Raw genomic sequence first — 25,990 nt, 5'->3', positions numbered from 1 at the left:
AAGGGTGGATTATTCATGCCTCCCCTTTTTAGACCAGAAATTTTAGATCAGGGTAATTTCCTGACATTTCTATGGCATTTGTAAACTGTCGTGGCACTGGTGGGAGTGTAGCAGTGAGGATGACCAGAGGACACTCTCATCGCCATCTTGATTTTGGTAGGTTTTGGCCGGCTTCTTTACTGTAACCTGTTTTATCAGCAAGGTCTTTATGACCTGTATCTTGTGCTGACTTCCTATCTCACCCTGTGACTTAGAATGCCTTCATCATCTGGGAATGCAACACAATAGGTCTCAGCCTCATTTTACCTAGCTCCTGTTTAAGATGGAGTTGCTCTGGTTCACATGCCTCTGACAAAAAGAAACATGAGGGTTTGTGTGGTTCAAGATCATTCCAGTCCAGGCCCACCTGCTGCTCAGACACATTTTAGTCCCAACCTCAAGAAGCCCACAGGAATCAATTTGGACAAGATCTGCTGACACCAGTGATGATCACCAGAAGTCTCCAAAGACTGCTCCCTCCCAGAACGGCCAATGGCACTAGTTGGGGTGGGGGCAGCCAAGCCTATTGGTCCTGCCCAGATTGGCCTGGCCTGAACCCACTCTACAGCTCCCTGTTGTCTGGGTCTAGGTCTTGGGTTCTGAGGACTTTAGACCTGAATGGGCTTTGAAGGTCAAGCACCCCTGGACTCTCTCCCATGGCTTTACAGCCCACACCTGGGGCTCCTGTCTGATGCTTCGTCCACTCTGAGCTCTGGTCTCTGCTCAGCCTCAAGCTGAGGTGGCAACCACAAACCTCTTCATCCCACAGCACGGCTGAGCAGACTAACCTCCCACTCTTGGGTTCTATTCTCGGCTGTCAACATTGGCATCATGTGTCAAGTGCCTAATTGCATGGCCGTGTGCCTGGTGAGGGGAATGAAGGCTCCAGAACACAGGGTACCCTGCTCACCAGTGCAGCCCACGGCTCTTCTGAGAACAAACAGGTCGTACAGGCAGAATACTAAACCAGACATAAGTGGACATGGCACGCTTCTATATAGCTGGGGGCACCCGTGCATAACTGGGGAGGAGGGAGGTGCCCACTCGGGGAGAGGCACATGGGACAGGGAAAGAACACGGCCCCCGGAGGCAGGAGACGTGGGGTCTGGTTCTCAGCCCTTCACTACCTAGTAGCTTATGACCAGGAGGCAGTCAATGAGAGCACTGTAGGATTTAACACTGGAAGGGTCTGGTGGATTCTAGGACCTGGATGTTCCTCGAGGGAAACACATATGTTCTGCCCTGGATCTACAGGTCAGAACTAGTGGGTGGGGCAAAGGGATCTTTATTTGAACAGAAATGATGATGGCATGCTTTGGAAATGACTGGATGACCACTGGGAAGGGTGATACCAGAGAGGAAAACTCAACTGCCCAAGTCAGACACTTGGTTCAGGGCAAAGCTGAGACCAGATTGAGGTCTCCTCATCCCAGGCTACATCCTGGCCCTAAGACCTTAGGCTCTGAGTTCCCTACATGTCAAGGACAGGGTAAGGGGACTCAGGAGGGCCTCACTGGTCTGGCAGGGACTGTGCTACTGCCCACATCTTCCTTCTGCCCCAGAAACTCCCTATGCTGCAGCCTTGGCACTCCTGAGCCCATGTCCTCCTCATGATTGTGAGATCACATGGATGAAGATGTCATGCCACTCCCATCAGCCCCTTCCAGCCTCACAGGATGGTGGGAAAGCCTTGAGTTCCAGTCCCCACTTTATAATCCATCATGAGACTAATCAAGTTGGTTCAGCTCTTTGGACTCAGGTCCCTTCTGTTCAAAGAGAAGATAAGGCTGAACTCCCAAGTCATTTCCAGCTCACTATGCTATTAGATTTACAGCATCTCAAGGCTGAAAGGAATTGCAGACATCACATAGTGCAGTGCTTTGCATCTGGTGCACTTGGGCAAACTGATCCCCTCAGCTCTCAAGGGCATGTGGGCCAGGCTTTGTAATAACCACGTTTTCTGGTTTCTACATTTGATGCTTTGACATGGGGCCCCACTGACCCTGGAGGGACTGCTTCTCCCAGAGCCAGCCAGTTTCTGACAGCTGCCTTTCATATATGCAAACCAACCCATCCAGAGCCCACACTCGCAACTGCCTCCTGTCACACTCACACTGGAGGCCACTATCCAACTGTCCTAATCACCCCAGAGTAGGTACCAGGTAACTGGGGACAGTGCCTATGTGAGAGCCCAGAGCCTGCTGAAATTATTCACGTGAGCCAATCCTAAACCTGCTATGCTGTTTCATGTTCCTTCCCACAGAAATCACAATAAATGCTCCTGCTTACATTTTTTCTTACTCTCTCTGCCTCCTGACCCACCTGTGCTGCCCCACGGGGCCCTATGTGGTGTGCTGGGACTCCTGTTGTGAGGGGTCTGTGAATGCGAACTTCTTCCTTCATGACAGTCATCTCTGCATCTGCATGTCCTACCATACTGGATTAAAACAGATCCCAAGTATCCTCAAAACAGGCCACTCATGGTTTGAACCTTTAGGCTTAAATGCAGTCCCCTTTGGGGTTTCAAATCCCTGCCAGTCTACTTTGTGTGCCCTGCAAATACTTCTATTGTCTATGTGCACTGCACATGAAAAAGACTTAGAAGCCCCAATGTGCAGCCCCTGCTGCCCCTCAGCCTCAGGATTTACCACCTATGTATCAGCGTTCCCACTTCCAAGGAGCTCTCCTTGGTGGTAAAGCCTACATTATACTCACTGCAAGCCTGCTTTCTCACTGCTTTGGTCTCTGCTTGGACTTCTGCCCTCTGGGGACATGCAGGGTTGGTTCGATCCCTCCTCCTTGCAATGTCTCTTCAGCTTTTTACAAGCAGCAGCTCTGGGTTCCCTAGAGGCTTTTCTTCTCCCACCAAACACCTCCTGTTCAAGAGGCGTATTTTTCACTATTCTGTGGCTCTAGAAGATCCCATCCCAAGGCTCTTCTCTCAGGGCCTCTCCTGCTTTAAACCAGAAGGAGAAGACACCCTGCCCTGAAAAGATGCCTGACCTCCATATGACCACTGCTGGTTTTTCATGAGAGTTTTAATGTGAAATCTCCAATTTTTTTTAAAAAAAATTTATTTTAGAAACAGAGTCTTGCTGTGTCACCCAGGCTAGAGTGCAGTAGTGTGATCATAGCTCATTGTAACCTCCAACTTCTGGCCTCAAGTGATTCTCCTGCCTCAGCCCCCCAAGCAGCTAGAACTATAGGTGTGTGCCACCACACCCAGCTCTAAGTTTTAAATGTCGGGATAAACTTACACAATATAGAGGCAGGGAGGAGCAACGGGTCCTCTCCTAGCTGCTTGCCCAAGGCCAATTCTCTCCAGTTGTTTAGCTACTTTCTAGTTGGAGGGGGAAGAGTTTTCCCACCACTACCCAAGTCCCCTCCCCAGGCAAAGAACTATGTGAAGACTCTGGTCAGGGAGAACACTTTAGACAGCAGCTTGTTGGAGAAGTCTGTGTGGGGACTAGGGAGTAAGATGTCTGATGTGTGCTTTGAACACAGACTCATGCTGCCTCCCTGCTGTGCTCCCACAGAGAGAACACAGCATGCTGCTGCCATGGGCTCCCCACTGTGGCAGGGGCAGGACCCTGATGTTTAGGCCTGGGTGTCTTTTCTCCAAAAGCAGCAGCAGTGGTAACTTGCATGAGTGAAGCCCATCAGGCATGGCTGGTGGAGCCTAAGCCGATAGGCCAGTGGGTATCTGGGCTAAGGGGGCAGCTGTGGCTTGGGTTCAGCTGATGCTTGCCTTATGAGAATGGATGCTTGACCTCTATGTGGCCACTTCTAGTCTTTCAAGAGAAGACTTGAAGTGGCCACATAGACTTTGGAAATGTCTATGTGGAAATTTAGACTTTGTATATGAACTCTCTAATCTTTAAATGCTAGTGCAGATTTGCAAAACAGTATAAGCTAACAAAAACACATCTTTGGACTGGATCAAGTTCCAGGACCACTAGTTTGCATCCTCTGTCCCAACCTCAGCTAGGGTTACCCTTCCCTCCAGAACAGGGTGGTTGCCAGCACAGCCCAGGTGTCCTCAGCTCTCCTCTAGGCTATCTCAACTATGATGTCCTCTGGCCATTGCTCCCTGTCATGGTTAATTTTCTGTATCAACTTGACTGGGCTATGGAGTACCCAGATATTTGGTTGAACATTATTCTGGGTGAGTCTGTCAGGGTGCTTTTGCATGAGATTAGCTTTTGAGTTGGTAGACTGAGTAAAGTGGATCGACCTCCCTAACGAGAATGGGCCTCATACAATCAGTTAAAGGCCTAAATAGAACAAAAGGCTGACCCCCCTGCTGAGTAAGAAGGAATTCCTCCTGCCTGAGGACCCTCCAACTGGGACACCAGCTTCTTCTTGCCTTCAGAATCAAACTGAAACATTAACTCTTCCTGGGTCTTGAGCCTGCCGACTGCAGATCTTGGGACTAGCCAGTCTCCATACTCCTGTGTGCCAATTCCTTATAATAAATCTCTTTATAGACATCTCTACATCTTGTCTGTTCTGTTTCTCTGGGGAACTTGGACTAATACACTCCCTTTAATTAAAAGACAGTTACGCCTTTGAGGAAGAAACTGAAGATTTTATCAAATGAAACTCCTCTTCTGGCTCACTGACCACATTTATATCATATTTCTAGTGTTGAATATAGTCACAATAGCAACTACTGTTTATCAAGTGCTTTGTATGTATCAGGCATGGGGTTAAGCAATGCATATATGCTTTCTTATGCAATCCACATAACACCCTGTTCCCCTTGCAGAACATATGAGTGTCCCTAGCTCAAGCGTCATATTGGTACTTCCCAGGCCATGCGCCTCTGCCTGGATCGGTGCCTGGCACACACGAGGTGCTCAGTAGATTACTCCTGAAATCAGGAAGTGAACTCTTCTTTAAAATAGATTCTGTTGGCCAGGCATGGTGGCTAATGCCTGAAATCTCAGCACTTTGAAGGGCCAAGGTAGGCAGACCACCTGAGGTCAGGAGTTCGAGACCAGCCTGGCCAACATGGTGAAATCCTATCTCTACTAAAAATACAAAAATTAGCAGGGCATGGTGGTGCATGCCTGTAATACCAGCTACTTGGGATGCCGAGGCAGGAGAATTGCTTGAACTCAGAGGGCGGAGGTTGCAGTGAGCCAAGACTGTGCCACTGCACTCCAGCCTGGATGACAGAGTGAGACTCTGTCTCAAAATATATATATATATATAAATAATAAAAATAGATTCTGTTTATATTCCCATATTACAGATGAGAAAATGGAATCTCAAGAACAATAAATAACCAGCCCAAGGTAACAGAGCTAAGAAATGGTAGAGCTGAGACATACCTCCAAGTCCCTTGAGTTCAAAACTCACATTCTTCACGCTATGCCCATTCCCAGTGTGCATGGAAGAACCAGGCCCACCTCCAGCCGCCGACCTTGGCATTCACAACACAACTCTCTCAGCCGGCAAGAATGCCCTCTGTGTAGCTCCCTCAATGCTCAGCAAGCCCAAGCTACCCCCAGGCTGACAGCTTTACTCCTGGACATTCCACTGGGGCTTATAAAGACTAACTTGGGGCCAGATGTGTTGGCTCATGCCTGTAATCCCAGCGTTTGGGAGGCTGAGGCGGGTGTATCACTTGAGGCCAGGAGTTTGAGACCAACTGGCCAACATAGCAAAACCTGGTCTCTACTAAAAATATAAAAATTAGCTAGGTGTGGTGGCGAGCACCTGTAGCCCCATCTTCTTGGGAGGCTGAGGTGGAAGGATCATTTGAACCCAGGAGGCAGAGGCTGCAGTAAGCCGAGACTGCACCACTGCTCTCCAGCCTGGGCAACTCTGCCTCAAAAAAAAATAAAAATAAACTAAAAAGACTAACTTGAGAGTCTCACCACAGTTTTCTCTTTAAAAATAAGAGAAAACCAAGAGAGGAAACCCACTGAAGTCTCAGATCATCCTCTTTTCATCATAGAGTTGCTTTCAGGTAACAGGGGGAAAAAGGTCTGATGCACAGGCTGAGAAGTGAGACCACGGAGCAAGATGAGGCTGACCACACTTGGGCCTGGGTAGAAGGTCGTGAGGCAACATACCCAGTTTCCAGGAACTCCCTGTCCTTGCATTCTGCATTGCTCTTGAGTCTCATGTGGATGAAGCTACACAGCAGATCAGCAGATAGAGGATGGGTGGTGAGTGGAGTTAGGCATATTTTACAAAAGGGAAATCATACCAACCACAGGTAAGGGACAAGAGAGGGAAAGGATGAAGGCCGTAACGGAAGGGCTCTGGATAGACCACAGAGGAGGTGAGTGATATGCCTGGGCCTTCACACACTGTCAGACTTACTGGTTTACAAAAGAGTAAGCTAATAACGTGGTCTTGAATGTGGCCACATATACATGTCTCTTCATTTGCTCCTTAATGATTAAACCTTCCCACCCTCTGGTATCCGGAAAGCATCTCTGATTGCCCTGTTCTTCCTAGAAGCCATCTCAGTCCATAAATCCACTGGGTAGTGCACATCTGCTTTGTCCAAGACAAACAATGGTCTGATTTCTCTGTCTCTTGCAGCATCGAGCTCCCTTTCACTGATTTCAATACAACACAGCTGTTCTGATAATGATATAGCCAGGTACGAGGAAAACTGCACAGAGTGTTATGGCTCCTACCTGAACTCCCAAGAGCTCTGAGACCCTGAGCCCAACACATCTTCAATGGAGACCTCAGTTGCCTCATTGAAGCAGAATGCTGGACCAGCTCTGATAATCTCTGACTTAAGTTCTTTCTTTCTTTTTTGAGATGGAGTCTCACTCTGTCACCCAGGCTGGAGTGCAGTGGTGTGATCTCAGCTCACTGCAACCTCCGCCTCCTGAGCTCAAGCTATTCTCCTGCCTCAGCCTTCCGAGTAGCTGGGATTACAGGCACATGCCACCATGCTTTGCTAGTTTTTCTATATTTTTAGTAGAGAGGGGGTTTTGCCATGTTGGCCAGGCTGGTCTCAAACTCCTGCCCTCAGGTGATCCACCTGCCTTGGCCTCTCAAAGTGCTGGGATTACGGGCATGAGCTACCACACTCAGCCTTGACTTAAGTTCTTTTGTTTTTGAGATGGAGTCTCACTCTGTCACCCAGGCTGAAGTACAGTGGCACGATCTCGGCTCACTGCAGCCTCTGCCTCTTGGATTCAAGCAGTTCTCCTGCCTCAGCCTCCCCAGTAGCTGGGACAAAAGGCACCCACCACCACGCCTGGCTAATTTTTGTATTTTTAGTAGAGATGGGGTTTTACCATGTTGGCCAGGCTGGTCTCGAACTCCTGATCTCAGGTGATCCACCCTCCTCGGCCTCCCAAAGTGCTGGAATTATAGGCGTGAGTCACCACACTAAGCCTTAAGTTCTTAATACATGAACTCCTGTGTCACTTGGCATTGGGTTCTTTGCAGATAGAAACCCCTGGATCCCCCAGGCCCAGCACAGGGCCTGGTCATCTCAGGTCCCCCTACATGCCAGTGAAGGGATCCTGTGATTATAAGAGGGTAGAAGGTAAGCTGTAGGGCAGGGGGTGTGGAGGAAGAGGTCTTAGGGCAAGGCCTTTAAGAAGAGGGAAGTGGAGGTTGGAAAACATGGGGAAGAGGGAGGGCATAAGGAAGAGATGTTATTCCATTCTGCTTTCAACATAATATCACAGCTCTGTTTATTCTGAGAAGCAACCAGCTGCAGCTCCAAAATAGAGATGCTGAGAAATGCCTCTGATGACAGAGACTGCTGCTGAGGGAACAAGGTTAGAACAGCCCTTCACAAGGGCTGGAGTGAGAGAGGTCCTGAGAGGGGAGACACTCCTGGATCTCTTTCCACTTCCGCCCTGCCCACCCCTGCTTCCTCCTTCCTAGCCCAAGGCAGCCCTAGTTCTTCTTTCCAGGGTCTCCGGGGCCCAGGGCAGGCACATGACAGAGCAGAGTGTGGCCCTGCCGTCACTCCAGGCCCCAGCAAGAGTGGTCAGTGTTCCTGGACAGAAGCTCCATGGCCAAGTGGGACAGGTGGCTTCCTTCTCCCTGGACCTGAATACCCTTTTCAAGCAATGTTGCTGGGAGCAGAAGAGACAATGAGATAATGGGATGGAACCAGAGGGTTTGCTAAGTGTCTGTGTTAAGAGCTTGTGTGTGATTGCACATGTAAGCAGGAGCAAAATCACACCAGGTGAAGTTAATCAGGCAGGAAGCCTTGTTTCCAGTTTATTGCAATAGGGCCAAGACTATTCCAATAGGGGAGGGAGATTGAACTCAATTCCTACCACAAGGGGAACAGCTGGGGATTCACAGCCAGTGGGCAAGGTGAGGGAGTCAGTGGAGGGATGAATACCAAGGGGAATTTGGTGAGGTAGTGATGGTGGCGGGGTAGGGGGTGAGGGGGTAGTTCTTGCTGGACTTTCTGGAGCTTAGCAGGCCAAGGAGCAGGGTGGGGGAGCCAAAAAGAGGGCTCAGAGGAGCCTGCCTAAGGTTCGGTCAAGGAGGGAGTCCTTGTCAGTGGAAGGAAAGCAAAGAGAGCAGGATATTTGGGGACATAGCCGTTCCCCTCCCTCACCCATGTAAGCATCAGCTCTAACAGGAGCCACCCGTCCGTCCCGCACTCACTCCATGGCAGAGAGAAAGGACGGTCCTAGGCCATCTGGCGTCTGCTAACAAGGGCAGCATGGGTTTGGGCCCACAGAGGCCCATCCCATCCCCAAAGCAGGCCAGCCTGGGCCTGACTCCACAGCACCCTATTCCGTGGGGCCTGCTTTGTCCCCTGGCTCTTGTGGAATCAGAGACCCTGATACGGTTTAGATGTTTGTTCCCTCCAATTTTATGTTGAAATGTGATTCCCAGTGTGGGAGGTGGGGCCTGGTGGGAGGTGTTTGGGTCATGTGGTGGATCCTTTATGAATGGCATGGTGCCTTCCCCATGTAATGAGTTTAATGAGTTCATGTGAGATCTGATTGTTTAAAAAGGAGGCTGGCACCTCCCCTGCTTCTATCTTGCCATTTGAGATGCCAGCTCCTCTTCCCTTCTGCCATGATTGGAAGCTTCCTGAGGCCTCACCAGAAGCCAAGCTGATGTTGGTGCCATGCTTGCACAGCCTGCAGAACCATGAGCCAATTAAGCCTCTTTTCTTTATGAATTACCCAGCCTCTGATATTCTGCTACAACAATGCAAAGAAATTGATACAAACCCTGAAAGGACTTTCCCCATCAAGGCCCCACTGCATTTGCTGGGGACTGACCTGGGGTGACTGAGGAGAGAGGCCATCGTCCTGGGGGCCTGTCACCTTCCTCCTTGTTGAAATGGACACTTGGCTAAACATGGACAGGTGGGCAAGCCCAGACACCCCGCACCTGGGCTGTTCAGTCCCTCACCATCCCCAGCAGGACCAGTCCAGATGGACTTTCTGGACTTTTTGTTCAACAGCCCAGAACACCCTCCAGCTGCCACCATGCCCACAGGAGGGTCTCTCAGGCAGAGCTGCTCCCAAAACCAGGATGGCCACTGGGCCCAGGCCTCACAGGACAAAGAGCCCTTGACATTATTTCCAAATGAGTCCATTCATGTAGTCAGTGTGTGTGTGGCATGTGTGCGTGTGTGTTTAAAACTATTAATTGGTGAAAGTAAACATTTAAACAACATCATAATGTTTGCTGTCCTATTTGGCTATTTCTGTCTCTTCTTCTTCTTTCTTAATCCAGAGAGACTCCAAACATGGAAGAGGCCCAGGCTTTTCTAGAACTCCAGAGACCCTGGTCTCAGGCACCTTCTACCTCCTCACATTGAGCATTCCAGTGCCAGCCGAGCCACCACACTCAGCCTCCTCCTCTGCTGCATCCTGTTTTCTCAGTCCAATTCTGTGTCTGAGGCTGCAGCTCCTCCCTCCCCCACACCCTCTCCTCTGCACCCTCCCCTGCCCCAGCCCAGCATTGCCCTCTGCTCTCCACACACAGCCACACAGCCACAAACACCCCTTGACATGCTTGAGTGGGAGTCTCAGAGCTGGTCCTCTCCTAGCCTCTGTTGTGTGTGCTCAGAAATTTCAAAAGGGACTTCCTGCCTCCCTCGGGGGGAAATGGGCTGGGTCACAAGAAATTTGCATATTGTAAAGACTGACCTGCACAGGAACCCTGGCTCAGGAAATACCTGCCTGGGAGCTAGACGCCAAGTGGTAAGAGGAAGAGGCTAGAAGTTGTTGCCATGCCCAGATGCCTGCTCAGCTTCTGCCTAGAACTGACTCCATAGGATTTTTGGAAGACCATGATCTGGCTGGTGGAAAGACTTCCTAAAATTAATTAGGCAAAGGCCAACATGGCACCACATGAACCCTGGGCACCCAAATCTAGAAGCTGGATGTCGCCTGGGTGATTGCTTTGTACACATAGGAGACAAACAAGATTAGCACAAAACCTCAGAAGATGGGAACTGGGGGGATTAGTCCAAAGCCCCAAAAGAAGTAGACAGCCTCCCCCTGGGGGATGAAGAGATGGAAGGGGTGGGAGGTACTGGGGTGGATCTGTCCTCAGGGAGCCTGAACTAATTCTAGGATCAGCAATGGAGTGAGATTTTCTAGTGACTTGTGCCACCCCAAGACCCAAGAGCCATGATTTGCTTCTTTGGGTTTCAGAACTTCCTGTCAATCACAGGAAGTAGCACAGGTGGGTCCTTCTCCTATTTGACAAGGAAGCTTCTTTGAAACATGGTGTCATGAAGAGATGAGGCAGGTGTGCCAGGGCTGGCTGCCAGAAGCCTCATGTTTCTGGGGCAGTGTCAACAGAAAACAATAAAAACATCAGGTATGATTAGTGGTTCTGTTTGAAATGCTTCTGTCAGGACTGGCTAAGTCCGAAGTCCTTAATTGGTTCATTTCATAACTGAGGAGCAGTTTTACAGCCCTTGAAAGGAAGGCAAATTACCAGCAATGTCTGGCTGGAACAGTCCCCATCACCAGGGTCATCTCAGGCCCTCCTAGCTTTAAGGTTGTGCATTTTGCCCTCTAGGAGGGAGCACAGGCTACTACTCATAATAACCTTAAAATAATAAATATCTTTGGGGTATTTTTAATGAGTGGTGACAAATGTTAACTCATTTAATCCGCAAAACGAAGTTGGTATTATCATTCTTCTACCATGTTACATATGGGGAAACTGAGGCATAGGAGATTAAAGGAACTCTCTCAGTGCCACAGAGGTAGGAAATGGCAGATCTGTTTCCTATTTCCTTTACCAGTACACCACACTGTCTCTCAAAGAAACATACAGGACTTTGCCATATTGCAGAGGAAAGAAACCAAGGCTTAGGCAGGTCCCTGTCTTGCTAAACTCTTTCTTTTTCCAAAGAAAGAGGCCAAGATTAAGGTGTCATGGGTCTCCTGCCTTCCCTCGGGCTAGGGATGAACTGCGGGAATTGTGACTACAATCAATTCAACAAACACCTTTGAGTACCCACCAGGTTGGCAGACGAGAGAGAGTACAAAAGGAGTAAGTAGTGATCCAGGGACTTACAGCCAAGTTGGGGAGACAGATATCGCCATCAAATAATACCACGCAGCACAGTGTGGTTAGCGCAAGCGAAGGGGACATGAAATTATGTCTGGGGAGCAGCATGGGTGAAGAAAGTTAATTTCATCTCATGGGAAAGGCAGGATATGAGTTGGACCTTCCAGGCTGGATAGGTTTGCAAACAAGAAGACGTGGGTTGAAAGCTATCAGAAAAACTTAGAATGTATATGAGCAAAACTGCAGGAAAGCCTGAGGCTTGCTGAAGATGTCATCAGAAGTGTCAAGGTTTACAGAGGTGACTACCCACAGGTATGCATAGGACAGATTTGCAGGAAGAAACCCTGGGGCAGCAATCGAGTGACAAATGCATTGATTTTGGCAAGAAGTAGTGTCTTACTCAAGATGGGGGCGATAATGAGGAAAAAGGAGTAGATGAAGGAAGATGTCCCAAGGTGGAATCCACAGGAATTGACAGCCAGTTAGAAGAAAAGCGAATATTGCCTACAATCTTCTCCCGTCAATTGGACGTCAGTGAGGCCACTCATCAAGTCAGGATGAGAAGGTGGGGCTGGAAGGTTCTGGGATCACTCATATGCAGGTAGACAAAGTGGGAAAGTCAATAATGCTTGCTTAACTGTAGCTCAAGAATTCATGGCAAAATTCTGTTCAGTCCCTGCAGTACTGAGCGAATGTCTCCCCGCCTCACACCTCCATATCTCTGCCTATCTAAGACTCCTCTTGGTAAAGCCCACCTCAAGTTTCACCTCCGTCAGGAAGCTTTTCTTCACGGCTGCTGTTCCCTTTTCAGCACATCTGGCTTATTGTAAATGTGCTATGTTTACCCTTTGGGGCTCCAGGTTTCTGGTAAGCTGGAAATAATGCGTTACGCACTTCTTTCCCAGTTGTATTTAGCATAGGACCTGGAATTCTTGGAGGAGGCCATCATTCACCCAGGAGTATGGAAACGAACTGCCCTGGCTGAAGCCCCTGAGGTGCATTCTCTGAGCTGCCTGAGGTGCATCGCATGGAAGGCAGCTTACAGCCTCTGGTGGCAGTCAGTGGCACAGAGGGCAAAGCTGAGCACAAGCCACAGCTCTATCCCTTGCTAGTCATGCACAGACTTATTTCCAACTATCCTGAACCCTGGCTTCTTTCTCTGTAAAACGGGACGCTGATGCAGCTGTTTCAGCGCTGTTGTGAGGACTCCTTGCCAGGTGTTTGTATGTAGAGTGTGTGGAGAGCCCCAGGCCCTGGGACTCAGCTGATACACAGGCTCTTAACTTGGGGGAGCTGCTTGTGCGCATGTGTCAAGACAGGCGGCCGGGCCCTAGTCTAATCTTAGCCCTGCAGCGCCCTGGGTATTTCCTCACTTCCTCATCTCCAGCACGTGGGAGAGTAATCGTGGCCCACAGGACTGGGGGTGGGTGAAGCCACCGGTGAGAATTCACATGAACATGTCCCAGGAACGCCAAGTGACTGTCACAGCCCAGCACATGGCAGGTATTTCTGGGGCTTCAGCCAATCAATAGTCATCATGCAGCCTACTCAGACAGGACATGGGAGAGCCCCTGAGCCTCTGCCTGGCTCCGGGGAGGAGGTCCATGATGAGAAAAAGGAGGACTTGCAAGAAGGGCAGGGGTAGACCCAAATCAGAATCAAGAGGCTCAGAGCAGCAAGAGCAGTCAGAGTCCATTCCCTGCATCCCAGACCATGCGGGCACTCCCTCTTGCCCACTTCCTGCTTGAATTCTTCTAGTGATGAGAAACTCACTCTCTCAACATTTCTGCAACCTGTCCCATTGCTCGGAGCTCTAATTATTAAAAAACCTTCCTTTATATTCATCCCAAATCTACTTTTCTGTAACTTCCTGGGCCTGCTCATGGAGATGCACAGAACAAAACCCATCTCACTTCCACCTCCTGACCTTTCACTAGTGGAAAACAGCTCCTCTGCTCTCCCAGGCCTTCCCTGGACCTGCCTCAGTTCCTCCAAACACTTCTCACGAGACGTCCTCTCTGGCTCCCCTCTCTCCCTCAAAGCTTCCCAAAAGCTGGTTCAAGAGGGGCCCTCAGAACTGGGCTGAAGACCACAGAAGTGCTCTGGCCTGACAGGATGGGCTGGCCCTTGTCCTAGTCCCTACTCCAATGAGGGAATTTGCCCAGGGCCAGTGGGATATCCTGAGTTTTTAGTCATTTTCCACCATGACGAGAACAGGAGTGATGCTATCCAAGGAGCTGCTTCCACAAAAATTCCCAGCTGACTCTGGCCATGAGGGTATCCCTGTTTGTCATAAAGACTTGGGAAGATGCTCCAGAGAGGTGACACTGCCGCACCTACTGAACCTCATTTCCACCCAGCGGTTCAAGATTTCGCATGGGAGTGGTTCTAGATTTCGCATGGGAGCAGTTCTAGATTTCGTGTGGGAGCAGTTCTAGATTTCGTGTGGGAGAAGTTCTAGATTTCACGTGGGAACAGTTCTAGATTTTGCATGGTAACGGCTCTTTGCCTGCATCTGTCTCTCAGAGACAGGCTCCCGAGGCTGGGTCCCTCCTGTCACTGCTGGAAGGGGAGGCTGCTACAAAGGGGGTTTGGCAAGGCCAGAGGGCCCCAAGGAAGTCTTGGTGGGGGGAAAGAAAACACTGCTGGGGTCAGGGTGAAGGTGGGGGTGGGGTGTTGCTTTGCTAAAGGCCCACAGGTGTTGGGAAGGAGGATGAGTAGTGTCAGAGGAGCAGAGAACCCTGCTCCCCACAGTCATCTCTCAGCAAAAACAGAACACCTCCCCTAGGTGAGAAATTCATCCCAACAGTAAATCCCTAGGTCAACGACTTTAGAAACCCTTAGCCCTTCTCCATTGGGCTAGAAGAGCCACAGTGTGGGGGTGCTAACACTGAAACTCTGGGTCTCACCAGCATAAGGAAATGACACATACCTGCCATGCCGATAGGGCCTGCCTGTGAGTCACGCCCAGGAAGTGGAGAGGGGAGGACAGGTCAGCCTAGGGGAGAGAGAAGGGGAGGCCCCGGAAAGTGCAGGCTCCTGGTGCTGCCCTGAGGCTCTAACTTTTCAACTCAAGCCCTGCCTCCAGGATGATGAACTGGGTCAGCAAAATGACAGGAGGCTCAGGGCCAGACCTGGATTAGAGCAGGCCTGCCCAGACAGGTCAGCGATTTGTGTCCATAAAAGGAAGATCCAAGGGAAACAGGGCCTGCCCTTGTCACCCACAGACCCAGTCAGGTTGGTTAGTAAACATCAGACAGGGCACGATCGGTGCATCACCTTTGAACACATAGAGTGTGCTTGTCTGGCACACGGGGCAGGGCTGACTGAAATGATGACTAGGAGGATGAGAAAAATTCCTGAGGGAGGCTGTCTGCATCATCGGGGTTATCAGTGAAGAGCAGTGTGTGGGTGTGGAGCGGAGCAGGGGGGCGGATAGACTTCACAGCCTAGTCCATCCACATACAGAGGACCCCAGGACTGTACTTCATTGAGAGCACCAGAAAAGCAGGCAGTGGGCCTCAGCCACAACCACCACCCCTGGGGAGACCACCTGGGATACCAGAAAGAGAAGGGCCCTCCAGCTCCCTTAGTATGACCTAATTTTACAGAGAAGGTGCCTGGAGCCCATAAGCCCCCTATCCAAGGTCCCTCCCTGAAGTCAGAGGGAGAGCTGGGGCCATTTTCCCACCCTGCCCAGTCCAGGGCTCGCTCTTTCCTTTAAAGAGCCAAATCCAGGCCGGCTGCGGTGGCTCATGCCTGTAATCCCAGCACTTTGGGAGGCTAAAGTGGGAGCATCGCTTGAGGCCAGGAGTTCAAGAACAGCTGGAGCAACAAAGTGAGACCCCCATCTGTACAAAAAGTAAAATAAAAAATTAGCCAGGCATGGTGGTGCATGCCTGTGGTCCCAGCTACTCGGGAGGCTAAGATGGGAGGATCACCTGAGCCCAGGAGTTCGAGGCTGTAGTGAGCTATGATTGCACCACTGCACTCCAGCCTGGGCAACAGAGCAAGACCCTATATCAAATAAACAAACAAAAAGGAAACAAAAAAGAAATAAAAAGCTAAATCTGGAGCTAAATAATTTGTACATATGGACATAGAGTGTGGAATAATAGACATTGGAGACTCAGGAGGGTGGGAAGGGGGTGAGGGATAGGAAATTATTTAATGGGTACAATAAACAGTATTCGGGTGATGGTTGCACTACAAGCCCAGACTTTACTACTATGCAATGTATCCCATGTAACAAAATCACTCTCACTTGTACCCCTTAACTTCATATCAACAAAAAGCACAAATCCTATGTTTCTTTCTTTCCTGGGACCCAGACATCACCCCACTGACCATTTCGAAAGACCGACACGTTTTATTTCGAGAATAATTGGGGGCCCTTCCTGGTTGTCATCTGGAAGGAGAAGAAATCCCCACATCTAGACCCAGAGGGCGAGAGAAATGCAGTTTTGGCTTTTTCTCCCCATCTTGCTAGTGAAAAGATCCCAGGTGAAATGTTTGCACAGAAGTCTTTCACATCCTTTTTTGAAAGTTCACAGAATATACGTGTCATTTGGTAGTTCACAGTGTATTGGGGCATCGTACCCCAGGAAATCCTGCCCTCTCACCCACCCCCACCCCTTTATGATTGCATCGCCATGGGGTTCTGCCACCGGTTCAGGAGCCAGCTAGCTCACAAGTCACATTGGCTTCCATGGTGGAGGAACGGGGCTGGAAGGAGGGAGGGACCTGGAAGGAGGAAGGGCACCAGAAACACTGAATGCTCTTGGGCTGTCCTCTGGCCTCTGTGACAGCTCCCTGTCTCTATCCCTCCCTGACCCCTGCCCAGGCCAGGCCTCCTCTGAGCATCAGCCGTCTCCCATCAGCATCAGCATGACTTTCCTTCTCTGCGGCGCTTGCCGGCATCGCGCATGGATTCCTTGGGCTGTCTGATTCCAGCCCATCTCCCATTCTGGGTGTTAAGTTCTGGGAGCTCAGGGAGGACTGTGTCTCTTTATGCGTCACCCTAGACCTAGATTCTAGTTGACTCAGTGACATTTGTTGACTGAATAAATGAAAGTGAGCTTTTGCCAATGTGAGAACATGGGGATGTATGATTTTTCAGTCCTGTAATAGACAGACCTAATGTCGACTGGGCCCTTCCCCCTTCATATGCATGGCATGCTGAATAAACCATAACAAAGACATCTTAATCACATCCGAGTGGTAAAGAAGAAATTCTCAGGTGTCAGAAATATCCGGAAAAATCTAAAGCAGTGTGTGGGCACTAAAGCTATGGAGGCCACCTGGGTATCAGAGGATGTTGGCCCAGGAGCTGGGGCCGGGGGTTTAACGTTTGTGCAGGGTGATGTCTTCAGGCTCCAGACCCTTGTGAGGCAGGGATTAACTCAACAAATACCATCCTGACTACAAGGTGGGCACTAGAAACACTGTTCACCAGCCCTGGGCATGAAGAAGCTTGACCTCTGTCTGGGTCCCAGGAAAGAAAGAAAGAAAGATAGGGAGAGAGAAAGAAAGAGAGAAGGTAAAACCCAAAACCTGTGTCATTCTACTTACATGCAGTGGGAATTCTAATCCAAGTAATTAAAATAAAAACAAATCCAGAGATGGTGACAAGTGATTCAAGCAGAGGAAAAAGCAGAACTCTGGAGTGCATTTCCATAAGCAAAAACACATAAATACCCTGCTCCTCCTGCCCCAATTCACAGTGACGATCCATACAACCAAGCAACCCACCTTGAGAAAGGGGCAGCAGATGCACGTTATAGATTAGAAAATCAAGAACTGAAGTAAATGGAATAACTTAAGACAATAAAAAGTATATTTGCAAGGCCAGGTGCAGTGGCTCACGCCTGTAATCCCAGCACTTTGGGAGGCTGAGGCAGGCAGATCGCTTGAGGTCAGGAGTTTGAGACCAGCCTGGCCAATATGGTGAAACCCCTTCTCTACTAAAAATACAAAAAATTAACCAGGCATTGTGGTGCATGCCTGTAGTCCAGCTACTCGGGAGGCTGTGGCAGGAGAATTACTTGAACCTGGGAGGTGGAGGTTTCAGTGAGCTGAGATCGCGCCACTGCACTCCAGCCTGGGTGACAGAGCAAGACTATGTATGTTTCAAAAATATATATATTTGCAATATCTAAATAGAAAAAAAAGAAGGTATGCAAAGTCCAAGATAATAATCCTAATGGCTAAAATGGGGAGGGGAGATGTTGAAAAGAAGATAATACTATAATACCAGTGGACAACAGTTTGGGACATGAGAAGAGAAAGATTAGAGTCAAAGTGCCATAAAATCCTTCCAATTTGGTAAGGAGGATAATGATATTGATTAATGTTAGACCTTAAATTCAAGTATGTGTTAAAAAATTAAAATAATAGAAACCTATTATTAGGTTTTATTTTTAACCTATTTTTCCATTAAAATAATAGAAACCTAATATATAACTTCTAAACCAATAGGCTACAAGAGGAGAAAATAATAAACACATAATCAATACAGTGAAAGGCAAGAGGTGAGAAAAGGCAAAGATGAAGCATGGCAAACAAAATAATGTAGTATACATATACTAAATATATTAGAAGTCTTAATAAATAAAGAAGCTTAAATTGCCTGTTAAAAGACAAAGACACTTAGACTTAATTTTTTAAAAATCCAGCTATCTGTAGTTTACAAGAAGCAAACCTAAAAACATTAAGACATCAAAAGTTAAAAATAAAGAGACAGAAAAATATAAACCAGTTACTAAGTGAAAGTTGATATTGATATATAAAATAGCAAATAAGATTTGAAGAAAAACATTAAAAATATGATTATGAGGAATCATGTTAAAAAGGAAAAATTTGCCAAGAAGTTACAATCATAAGCTTATATGCACCAAAACACAGACAATTAAAAATATAAAGCAAAAATGGACAGAAATGCAAAAAGTATTGCTTCTTTTCTTCTTCATGGTTTCATTTGGCCTGAGTGCTACAAAACTGTGTAGCAGTCAACTCAACTGAGGATGGCTTAACTCAGCTGAACCTACAGTGCAGAGCTATATCCACAGCCCTGTGCTGCCCTGGGGGAATTTAGATGGTTCTAACCAATCTACCAAGGAGGGGAGCAAAGAGTGAGGATGAAGAGAACTAATGAGAAAAAGGGAACGTCTACTATGTTTAAGACATTGTGCTAAGAACTAAGTAAACCTTCTTATGCAACCCCATAGAAATCCAATGAGGTTGGCTTGGTTACCCCAATTACTACTAGTAACCCCAATTTACAGAGTAGAAACCGAGCTTCAAAGATATTAAGTGACTTTTCAGAGGTCACATGACTGGGGAGCTATAGAGTCTAAATTGCAGTCATCTGACATAATCTCCATGAGGCTAGGGACCATATTTTCACTCCATATCCCTAGCATGTAAAACTATGCCTGGCACAGATTAGGCACTTGATAAATATCAGATGAATGAATGAATGCAGCTGTAATTCCAAGCCTGTGCATTTTCTATTATGCCAGAGCACCTACTCTGTTATCTCACTTACTCTTGGCTATCTATATCTTTATCTCACTCAGATCTCCTCTTCAAAAAAGGCATCTCCTCTCTCTAACCTGACCCATTTCCCCTCTCTCATTCAGAGTTGACAAAGGAGAGAGAAGAAAGCCCAGTTTCACAACAAGAGACCCAATTTCCTTCAAAGCTGGTGGTTGGGAAATGATGCTCCTGATAGCGGTTAAGGGAGATGGCAGGCACGGGGTGGCCCCCTGCACTGGAGATTTGCAAGAAAATGAATTTCCCATTCTCTTCTGCTGTCAGTTGCTGGTTACCTCCCTATCCTACAAGATCATGAGAAGACCCCTGGAAATGATGTGAGGACCATGAGGGATTAATATTTAAACACCAACTGAAGTGGCTCTGGAACCATACAAGTGGTGAGAAAATTCTTGGAGACAGAAGAAGTGTCAGAGGAATTTTAATTTGTCAGTATTTTTTGTACTTTTTATTTTGAAAGAATTATAGACTCACAGGAAGTTGTACAAATAGCACATAGAGTCCTGAGTACCCTTGACTCATCTTCCCCTAATGGGAACACCTTGTAGAATAATAATATCAAAACCAGGAAACTGACATTCATATAATACTGTGACTGAACTACAGACCTGATCCCATTTTCATTATTTTTTTTACATGGATTCATTCGTATGTGTGGGTGTGTGTGGTATGTATGTAGTTCCATGCAATTTCATCCTGTGAACACACTCATGAGACCATCACCACAGTCAAGATACAGAACTGTTTCATCACCGTGAAAAGACTTCTTTGGGTTACCCCTTTTAGACACATTCGTGCCACCACCCATCTCCACAACCCCTAGTTTGCTCTCCATCTCTACAGTTTCATCTCTTAAAGGATGTGATGTCAATGGAATCATACAGTATGTGACTTTTTGAGATGAACATTTTCTTCATTCAGCATAATACCCTTGAGATCCATCCAGGTCGTTGCCCGTGTCAATAGTTTGTTCATTTTCATTGCTGAGTAGTATTTCATGGTGTGAATATACTAGTCTCCCATTAAAGGACATTTGCATTGTTTACGTTTTTCCGCTATTGACTGCAGCTCTTTGACAAGAGGGCTAGTCCTGCTTCAGGCTGCAGAGCCTTCAGAATTCCTGGTGAGCAGTGAGGATCTATACTGCATTCCATGAATTCACTGGCTTTTCAGCTGCAGTTCATCAGAGCCTTCAGAATTCCTCGTGAGCAGTGAGGATCTATACTGCATTCCATGAATTCATTGGCTTTTCAGCTGCAGTTCATTCTTATCAATCCTTCAAGTTTTAAGTAAAACACCAAGTATTCTGTGAAGTCTCTGTGTTGATAACCATCTCCCTGGCCAGACTCTTGCAGCTTCCTTACAATCCCATAGATGTCCTTTACTCTTTGCCCTCAGCTCTGGCCCAGGGCCCAATACGGTCAGTAAGCATTTGTTGAATCAATAGATCAACAGCAAAGCTGTCATCACAGTCTTTTCCTAATACAGGCCACCCCAACCTGCGATCATAACACATTGCTGGAAGCCACATAGAGAGGGACTGTCATCACTAAGGGGGCCATGTTTTCTTACTTGAACAGTGTTGTAATTATAATAGAGATAGAGCCACCAGTAGGGCTCTCAGACGGCTCCAAGGTGTTACTATTCTAGTATTCTAGATAATACTGGAACTTTTTTTTTTTTTTTGAGACAGTCTTGCACTGTCGCCTGGGCTGGAGTACAATGGCATGATCTTGGCTCACTGCTACCTCTGCCTCCCGGGTTCAAGCAATTCTCGGGCCTCAGCCTCCCAAGTAGCTGAGATTACAGGTGCCTGCCACCATGCCCAGCTAATTGTTTGTATTTTTAGTAGAGACAGGGTTTCACTATGTTGGCCAGGCTGGTCTCAAACTCCTGACCTTGTGATTCACTGGCCTCGGCCTCCCAAAGTGCTGGGATTACAGGCATGAGCCACCATGCGTAGCCTCAAACTTCTAAATATATAAGTGTATTTCTACAGATCTGATTATTTCACTAGGAGAGAAGCCTAGAGCTAGAATTACTGAGTCAGAAGGAATACACTCATATTTCTTAGTACATGCTGCCAAGTTGCTCTCCAGAAAGGTAGCTGTATTGGTTGCCTACTATTGCTGTAACAAATTACCACCAATTTAGTGGCTTAAAACAACACTAATTTATCTTACCATTCTGGTGGTCAGAAGTCCTAAAACCAAGGTGCCAGCAGGGTTGACTTCTTTCTGGGGTGCTAGGGGAGAATCCTTCTTCTTGTCTTTTCCAGCTCCTAGAGGCTACATTATTTGGCTCGCGGTTCCTTCCTCCATCTTCAAAACCAGCAGCATAGTGCCTTACAATCTCTCTCTTGTCTCTCTTCTCTCTCTCTTCCCTCCCTCTTTCTGACTTCTGCTTCTGTTGTTGCACTGCCTTCTCTTACTCTGACCTTCCTGCCTCTCTCTTAAAAGGACCCTTGTGATAACATTAGGTCCAACCGGATAATCCAAGATAATCTCCCCATTCCACTATCCTTAACTTAATTGCATCTGCAAAGTCTCTTTGGCATGTAAGGTAGCACACGCACAAGTTCTGGGATTAGGATGCGGACATCTTTGGGAGGTTGTTATTAGACAGCCTGTAGCAGAGTATTAGAGCTAATGCTCCTTTTGAATAAGAACAAAGTATAGTCTGGGGAGTTAAGAGGCAGAATCAAAAAGAGTCGTTTACTGTAAGAACATCATTCCCTCAAGACTGAAGAGCAAGGTGGTTTTTCAGCTCTAGACATAAGCAGTATAATAAAAATATCATCCTTGAAAATCAGGGATGATTCCGTCGGAAGACCATCCCTAATATTGACATTGGGTTCCAGCCCAGGAGAGACAGAACAAGGAGCAAACACACAAATTGGTTGGTGAGATCCTACAAGCAGGCCAATGAGACAAGGAAGGCAAGCTCATTTACCTTCATAGAATAACAATCATCAAACAGCCCAGCGGTATGTAAATGATTTATTGACATATACTTCACACCCTCACTACCTGTTCTTTCTGCAAAGTTTTATTTTGTTCCCAGCTATAATTACACGCTGCCATTTTTCAAGCACTTCGGATGTCACTATTTTCCTGTTTTCCAAGTTTAACAGTCCTCCCAACAGTCAACATACCTGCCGGCCGCAAATCAAAAACTGCTTGCACATAGATTGCAGGTGACCTCAATTGTTTCATCTGTCTGCAACGTCTCCTTTCCCTGCTTGGGAGAATTTCACTGGCTTTCTTTGTGAGACTGTTCCTCCTCCCAGGCCAGCCTTGTGTGCTAGTGGAGACGGCTCATCACAGAACACCATCTCCTCTTCCTCCCCGTCCTGGCCTGGACCACAGGATGGGGCACATTAATCAAGAGGAAGCAAACACAGTACCCCACCCTTTTGGCTGTGGGGGTTAGTCCAGAAATGGACACACGATCTTAGCCAAACTAATCAGAGTTATTCTTTGGCATTTTTACTTTAGCTTGGGGAAAAGGGCTTTTCTCTGGGTGATAGGGCTATGGCTGGGAGCTCAGACACCATTAGCCACCAAGTTCCTTTCTTTTGGCACAAGTTGTTCTGAAAGAATTAAGCCAACATGTAATGACAGCCAGAGATGTGAGAGACAGAAGCAGAGGCAGAGGGGCAGACACAGAGATGTCTGAGGTTCTGGGATGAGGTCCTGATTCCCACCACACCTGAGTTCAGCTGCTTCCTGAATCTTCCCTTAATTTGGGTATGTGAGCCAAGGTGAATCCTCTCTTTTGGGTTTCTGTCATCTGCAACTAAAAGAGTGCTGGGACAATAAACAGGGGTGTGACACCTGCCTTTCCCTGCTTCATCTTCAATAGCAGGCCCATTTCTGCTGAGGCTCTTTGTCCCCTGCTCTTGGGAAATATCTTACAGAGCCACCCATAGTCAGGTCTAAGTGACTGATAAGGTTTACGGAGTTGGCACTCCAGGCTATTAACCTTCATGCAGCTGAGCAGTAGAAATCGTGCCTCCTGAACAGCCTCCCCTGGGAACAGCCCTACCCTAGTTGCCTCATCTGTTCAAGTGCTGTCTTGGTCTGCCATTACTAGGTAGATACAGGGCTGTGCTATGGTGACCACAGGATCAATGTGTGTGTGTGTTAGAGAGAGAGCGAGCATGCATGAGTGAATGAGTTAGGAGCTGTGTTTACTCACACTCACAGATCAGCGTGTGAGGGCATAGTTAGGCCAAGCTGGGCCTTTCCTATCCCATATGAAGAAAGGACAAGGAGGAGAAAATTTCACAGCAGATTGGTAAGCAATGCACCCTGCATCTGAGATGTCCTAGCAAAAAACAGCACTTTCTTGGACAAGGAGTGCCATCCCAAAGCCAAGGGTGACTGACTAGCCTGATGTGGTATCTCCCCATCCACTCCCTACTGCCCTTGAGTATTGGAGAAAAACACAGCCCCCAACATTAACAGCCCAACTGGTATGTAGCTTATGGCAAACTTATACCGTAAATCTTCTGGGTCTCTTCTGTAGTGGACGCTAAATATTTTTGGATTGCTAACTAAATATTTTTGCAATTAATCCCCTTTAATCCCAAGACTAGATGAGCAGTCCCGTGAAAATGTGGTTCTCCACTTCTCTGTATCCTTTAGGTGACTGTAGCCTGGGCTGGCTTAGGTGAAGGAGACCCCCATACTCTTTATTCAATCCTTTGTAACTGTTCTTGTTATGTAAAATGCTACAGTTCTTGTTCTAGAATCCATCCCCTTGAGTTTAGAATAATAATGTATTAGTCCATTTTCACACTGCTGATAAAGACATAACTGAGACTGGGCAATTTACAAAAGAAAGGGGTTTAATTGAACTTACAGTTCCACATGGCTAGGGAAGCCTCACAATTATGGCAGAAGGCAAGGAGGAGCAAGTCACGTCTTACATGGATGGCAACAGGCAAAAAGAGCTTGTGCAGGGAGACTTCCGTTTTTCAAAACCATCAGATCTCACAAGACATATTCACCATCATGAGAACAGTGTTGGAAAGACCTACCCACATGATTCAATTACCTCCCACCGGGTCCCTCCCACAACACATGAGAATTCAAGATGAGATTTGGGTGGGGACACAGCCAAACCATATCAAATAATGTGTATCCAAATAAGTGAAAGCTCCTTTCATAGCTGATTCTATAGCAAAAAGAAGTTTACAAGTGTAGGCTGGCCCAGATGACCGCCCCCCCTCCACCCCTGAAGACGTTAAGTAGATTGTGGTCTTGCTCCAACAAGCATTTAGAAGAGGTGAGATGGTTGGGAGGCTTTTCCTGTCTTTTGCTTTTGTTTTTTGCAGGAACACATGTTGGCCTTTCCTTGGCCTTCCATGCGTCATGCCTACACTGGAGACTATGAATTCTATAGGTGAGTAGGTGGGTGAAAAAAGCACTTTGGCAGCTTATCAAGATACGTGCACAGCACTGCTTTAGAAAAAGTAATGGGGTGATGGGGAGCCACCAGCCTTATGAATTGGTGAGAACTTTGAAAGCTAGAAGAGTCAGGGACAGCAGCGCTTGGAAGAGCAGAAGGGTGTTTGGTCAGCTGGGGAGAGGACAGGCAGCCCCCCCGCCGTGGGTCCCCTGAGTCAACCATGATGGGCACAGCAGAGCCGCTGCTGTCAGCTCCCTGCCCAGAGGAAGTGAAGCCCAAACAGCAGCCTGAGTCATATTTATTGAAGAGACCATGGGAACAAAAGCTGTAGACAGGAGCTTCTGCGGGGGATGGCATTCAAACTGCTTTTACCATCCCATTAGCAGTTTCTCTTTCCCTCCAGTGGATGGGCTACGTGGGAAGTGGGTTACGAAAGTCAAACAGAGGTTCCATTTTCACATTGCCCTTCAACGGGTGGTTTTAATCCTACATAACCAGGTGTCTTTTGAGAGATTTGCTGACTGCTGACATTTTAGGTGTAATGTTTCCCCATAGATAAGTCTATGTTTTATTCAAAAGATAATGTTGATGAAATTATCCTGGAGATTGTGAAATGTTGAAAATGGAAAGTTTTACATTGCAAAGACTAGTTGGAGGCATTAGTACACTTTTATTTATTTATTAATTAATTTATTTTTTTTGGTAAAGGATATTTTTGGAAACTCAGTTCTAGCCTCAGATGGAATCCATTAGGACCAGTAGAGGGATGGAAGTCAACAGATTCAGGGTCTAGACAAATTCTTTGTCTGTGTGGCTGTGGAACCTTAGGTAAGTCACTTTTATGCTTTCTTATTTTTGTATTTTTATTTTAAAGGCAAATGGAACATTTCTACAATCCCAGATTAATCACTTCTAACATCTTGGAGACCATTTTCTCACCCGTGATTAAAGGGATTGGACCAGGTGATTATTACAGTTCCTATCGGCTTAATATTCTTTGATTCCATGACTTTCTATTCTATGGGTCCAGGAAGAACATAGATTAAATCCCACTGCTCCTTGTGAAATATATATATATTTCATTTTTAGAGACAGGGTCTTGCTCTGTCACCCAGACTGGAGTGCAATGGTATAATTATAGCTCATTGCTACCTGGAACTTCTGGGCTCAAGTGATCCTCCCACCTTAGCCTCCTGAGTAGCTGGGACTACAGACTACAGGTGTGCACCACTGTGCCTGCTCCAAGCACGTATATATATATATATATATATATATATATATATATATATATATATATATATTTTTTTTTTTTTTTTGAGACGGAGACTTTCTCTGTCCCCCAGGCTGGAATGCACTGGTGTGATCTCGGCTCACTGCAACCTTTGCCTCCCGGGTTCAAGCAATTCTCCTGCCTCAGCCTCTCAAGTGGCTGGGATTACAGGCATGTGCCACCAACACCCTAATTTTTGTATTTTTAGTA

The 25,990-nt window shown here is 47.3% G+C and overlaps 1 protein-coding gene across 35 annotated transcripts in view, besides 10 other annotated features; it reads right to left on the bottom strand.

Moving 5' to 3' along the window:
* The window catches only part of PTK2B (protein tyrosine kinase 2 beta), a 148,886-nt gene that overhangs the window by 82,590 nt on the left and 40,306 nt on the right, over positions 1-25,990 (bottom strand). The gene's annotated exons all lie outside the window — the stretch shown is intronic.
* Positions 677-806: an enhancer, noted in NCBI's record as "active region_27147". NCBI's record gives its function as "activates an Ori minimal core promoter by ATAC-STARR-seq in GM12878 lymphoblastoid cells {active_cell/tissue: GM12878}" and the evidence as "EXISTENCE:reporter gene assay evidence [ECO:0000049][PMID:35858748]".
* Positions 1,207-1,266: an enhancer, noted in NCBI's record as "active region_27146". NCBI's record gives its function as "activates an Ori minimal core promoter by ATAC-STARR-seq in GM12878 lymphoblastoid cells {active_cell/tissue: GM12878}" and the evidence as "EXISTENCE:reporter gene assay evidence [ECO:0000049][PMID:35858748]".
* Positions 2,277-2,326: an enhancer, noted in NCBI's record as "active region_27145". NCBI's record gives its function as "activates an Ori minimal core promoter by ATAC-STARR-seq in GM12878 lymphoblastoid cells {active_cell/tissue: GM12878}" and the evidence as "EXISTENCE:reporter gene assay evidence [ECO:0000049][PMID:35858748]".
* Positions 6,084-6,153: an enhancer, noted in NCBI's record as "active region_27144". NCBI's record gives its function as "activates an Ori minimal core promoter by ATAC-STARR-seq in GM12878 lymphoblastoid cells {active_cell/tissue: GM12878}" and the evidence as "EXISTENCE:reporter gene assay evidence [ECO:0000049][PMID:35858748]".
* Positions 12,339-12,518: an enhancer, noted in NCBI's record as "active region_27143". NCBI's record gives its function as "activates an Ori minimal core promoter by ATAC-STARR-seq in GM12878 lymphoblastoid cells {active_cell/tissue: GM12878}" and the evidence as "EXISTENCE:reporter gene assay evidence [ECO:0000049][PMID:35858748]".
* Positions 14,145-14,675: an enhancer, noted in NCBI's record as "H3K27ac-H3K4me1 hESC enhancer chr8:27219644-27220174 (GRCh37/hg19 assembly coordinates)". NCBI's record gives its function as "activates a minimal SCP1, AML or CMV promoter by ChIP-STARR-seq in primed H9 embryonic stem cells {active_cell/tissue: H9 hESC(primed)}" and the evidence as "EXISTENCE:reporter gene assay evidence [ECO:0000049][PMID:30033119]".
* Positions 14,145-14,737: a biological region, named in NCBI's record as "H3K27ac-H3K4me1 hESC enhancer GRCh37_chr8:27219644-27220174".
* Positions 14,628-14,737: an enhancer, noted in NCBI's record as "active region_27142". NCBI's record gives its function as "activates an Ori minimal core promoter by ATAC-STARR-seq in GM12878 lymphoblastoid cells {active_cell/tissue: GM12878}" and the evidence as "EXISTENCE:reporter gene assay evidence [ECO:0000049][PMID:35858748]".
* Positions 15,058-15,217: an enhancer, noted in NCBI's record as "active region_27141". NCBI's record gives its function as "activates an Ori minimal core promoter by ATAC-STARR-seq in GM12878 lymphoblastoid cells {active_cell/tissue: GM12878}" and the evidence as "EXISTENCE:reporter gene assay evidence [ECO:0000049][PMID:35858748]".
* Positions 24,491-24,550: an enhancer, noted in NCBI's record as "active region_27140". NCBI's record gives its function as "activates an Ori minimal core promoter by ATAC-STARR-seq in GM12878 lymphoblastoid cells {active_cell/tissue: GM12878}" and the evidence as "EXISTENCE:reporter gene assay evidence [ECO:0000049][PMID:35858748]".

Source organism: Homo sapiens, chromosome 8 (assembly GCF_000001405.40).
Source record: "Homo sapiens chromosome 8, GRCh38.p14 Primary Assembly".
In the NCBI taxonomy this organism is placed as follows: domain Eukaryota; kingdom Metazoa; phylum Chordata; class Mammalia; order Primates; family Hominidae; genus Homo; species Homo sapiens.
The sequence above is the reverse complement of the archived record's forward strand: the minus strand, read 5'-3'. Positions and strand labels throughout refer to the sequence as shown.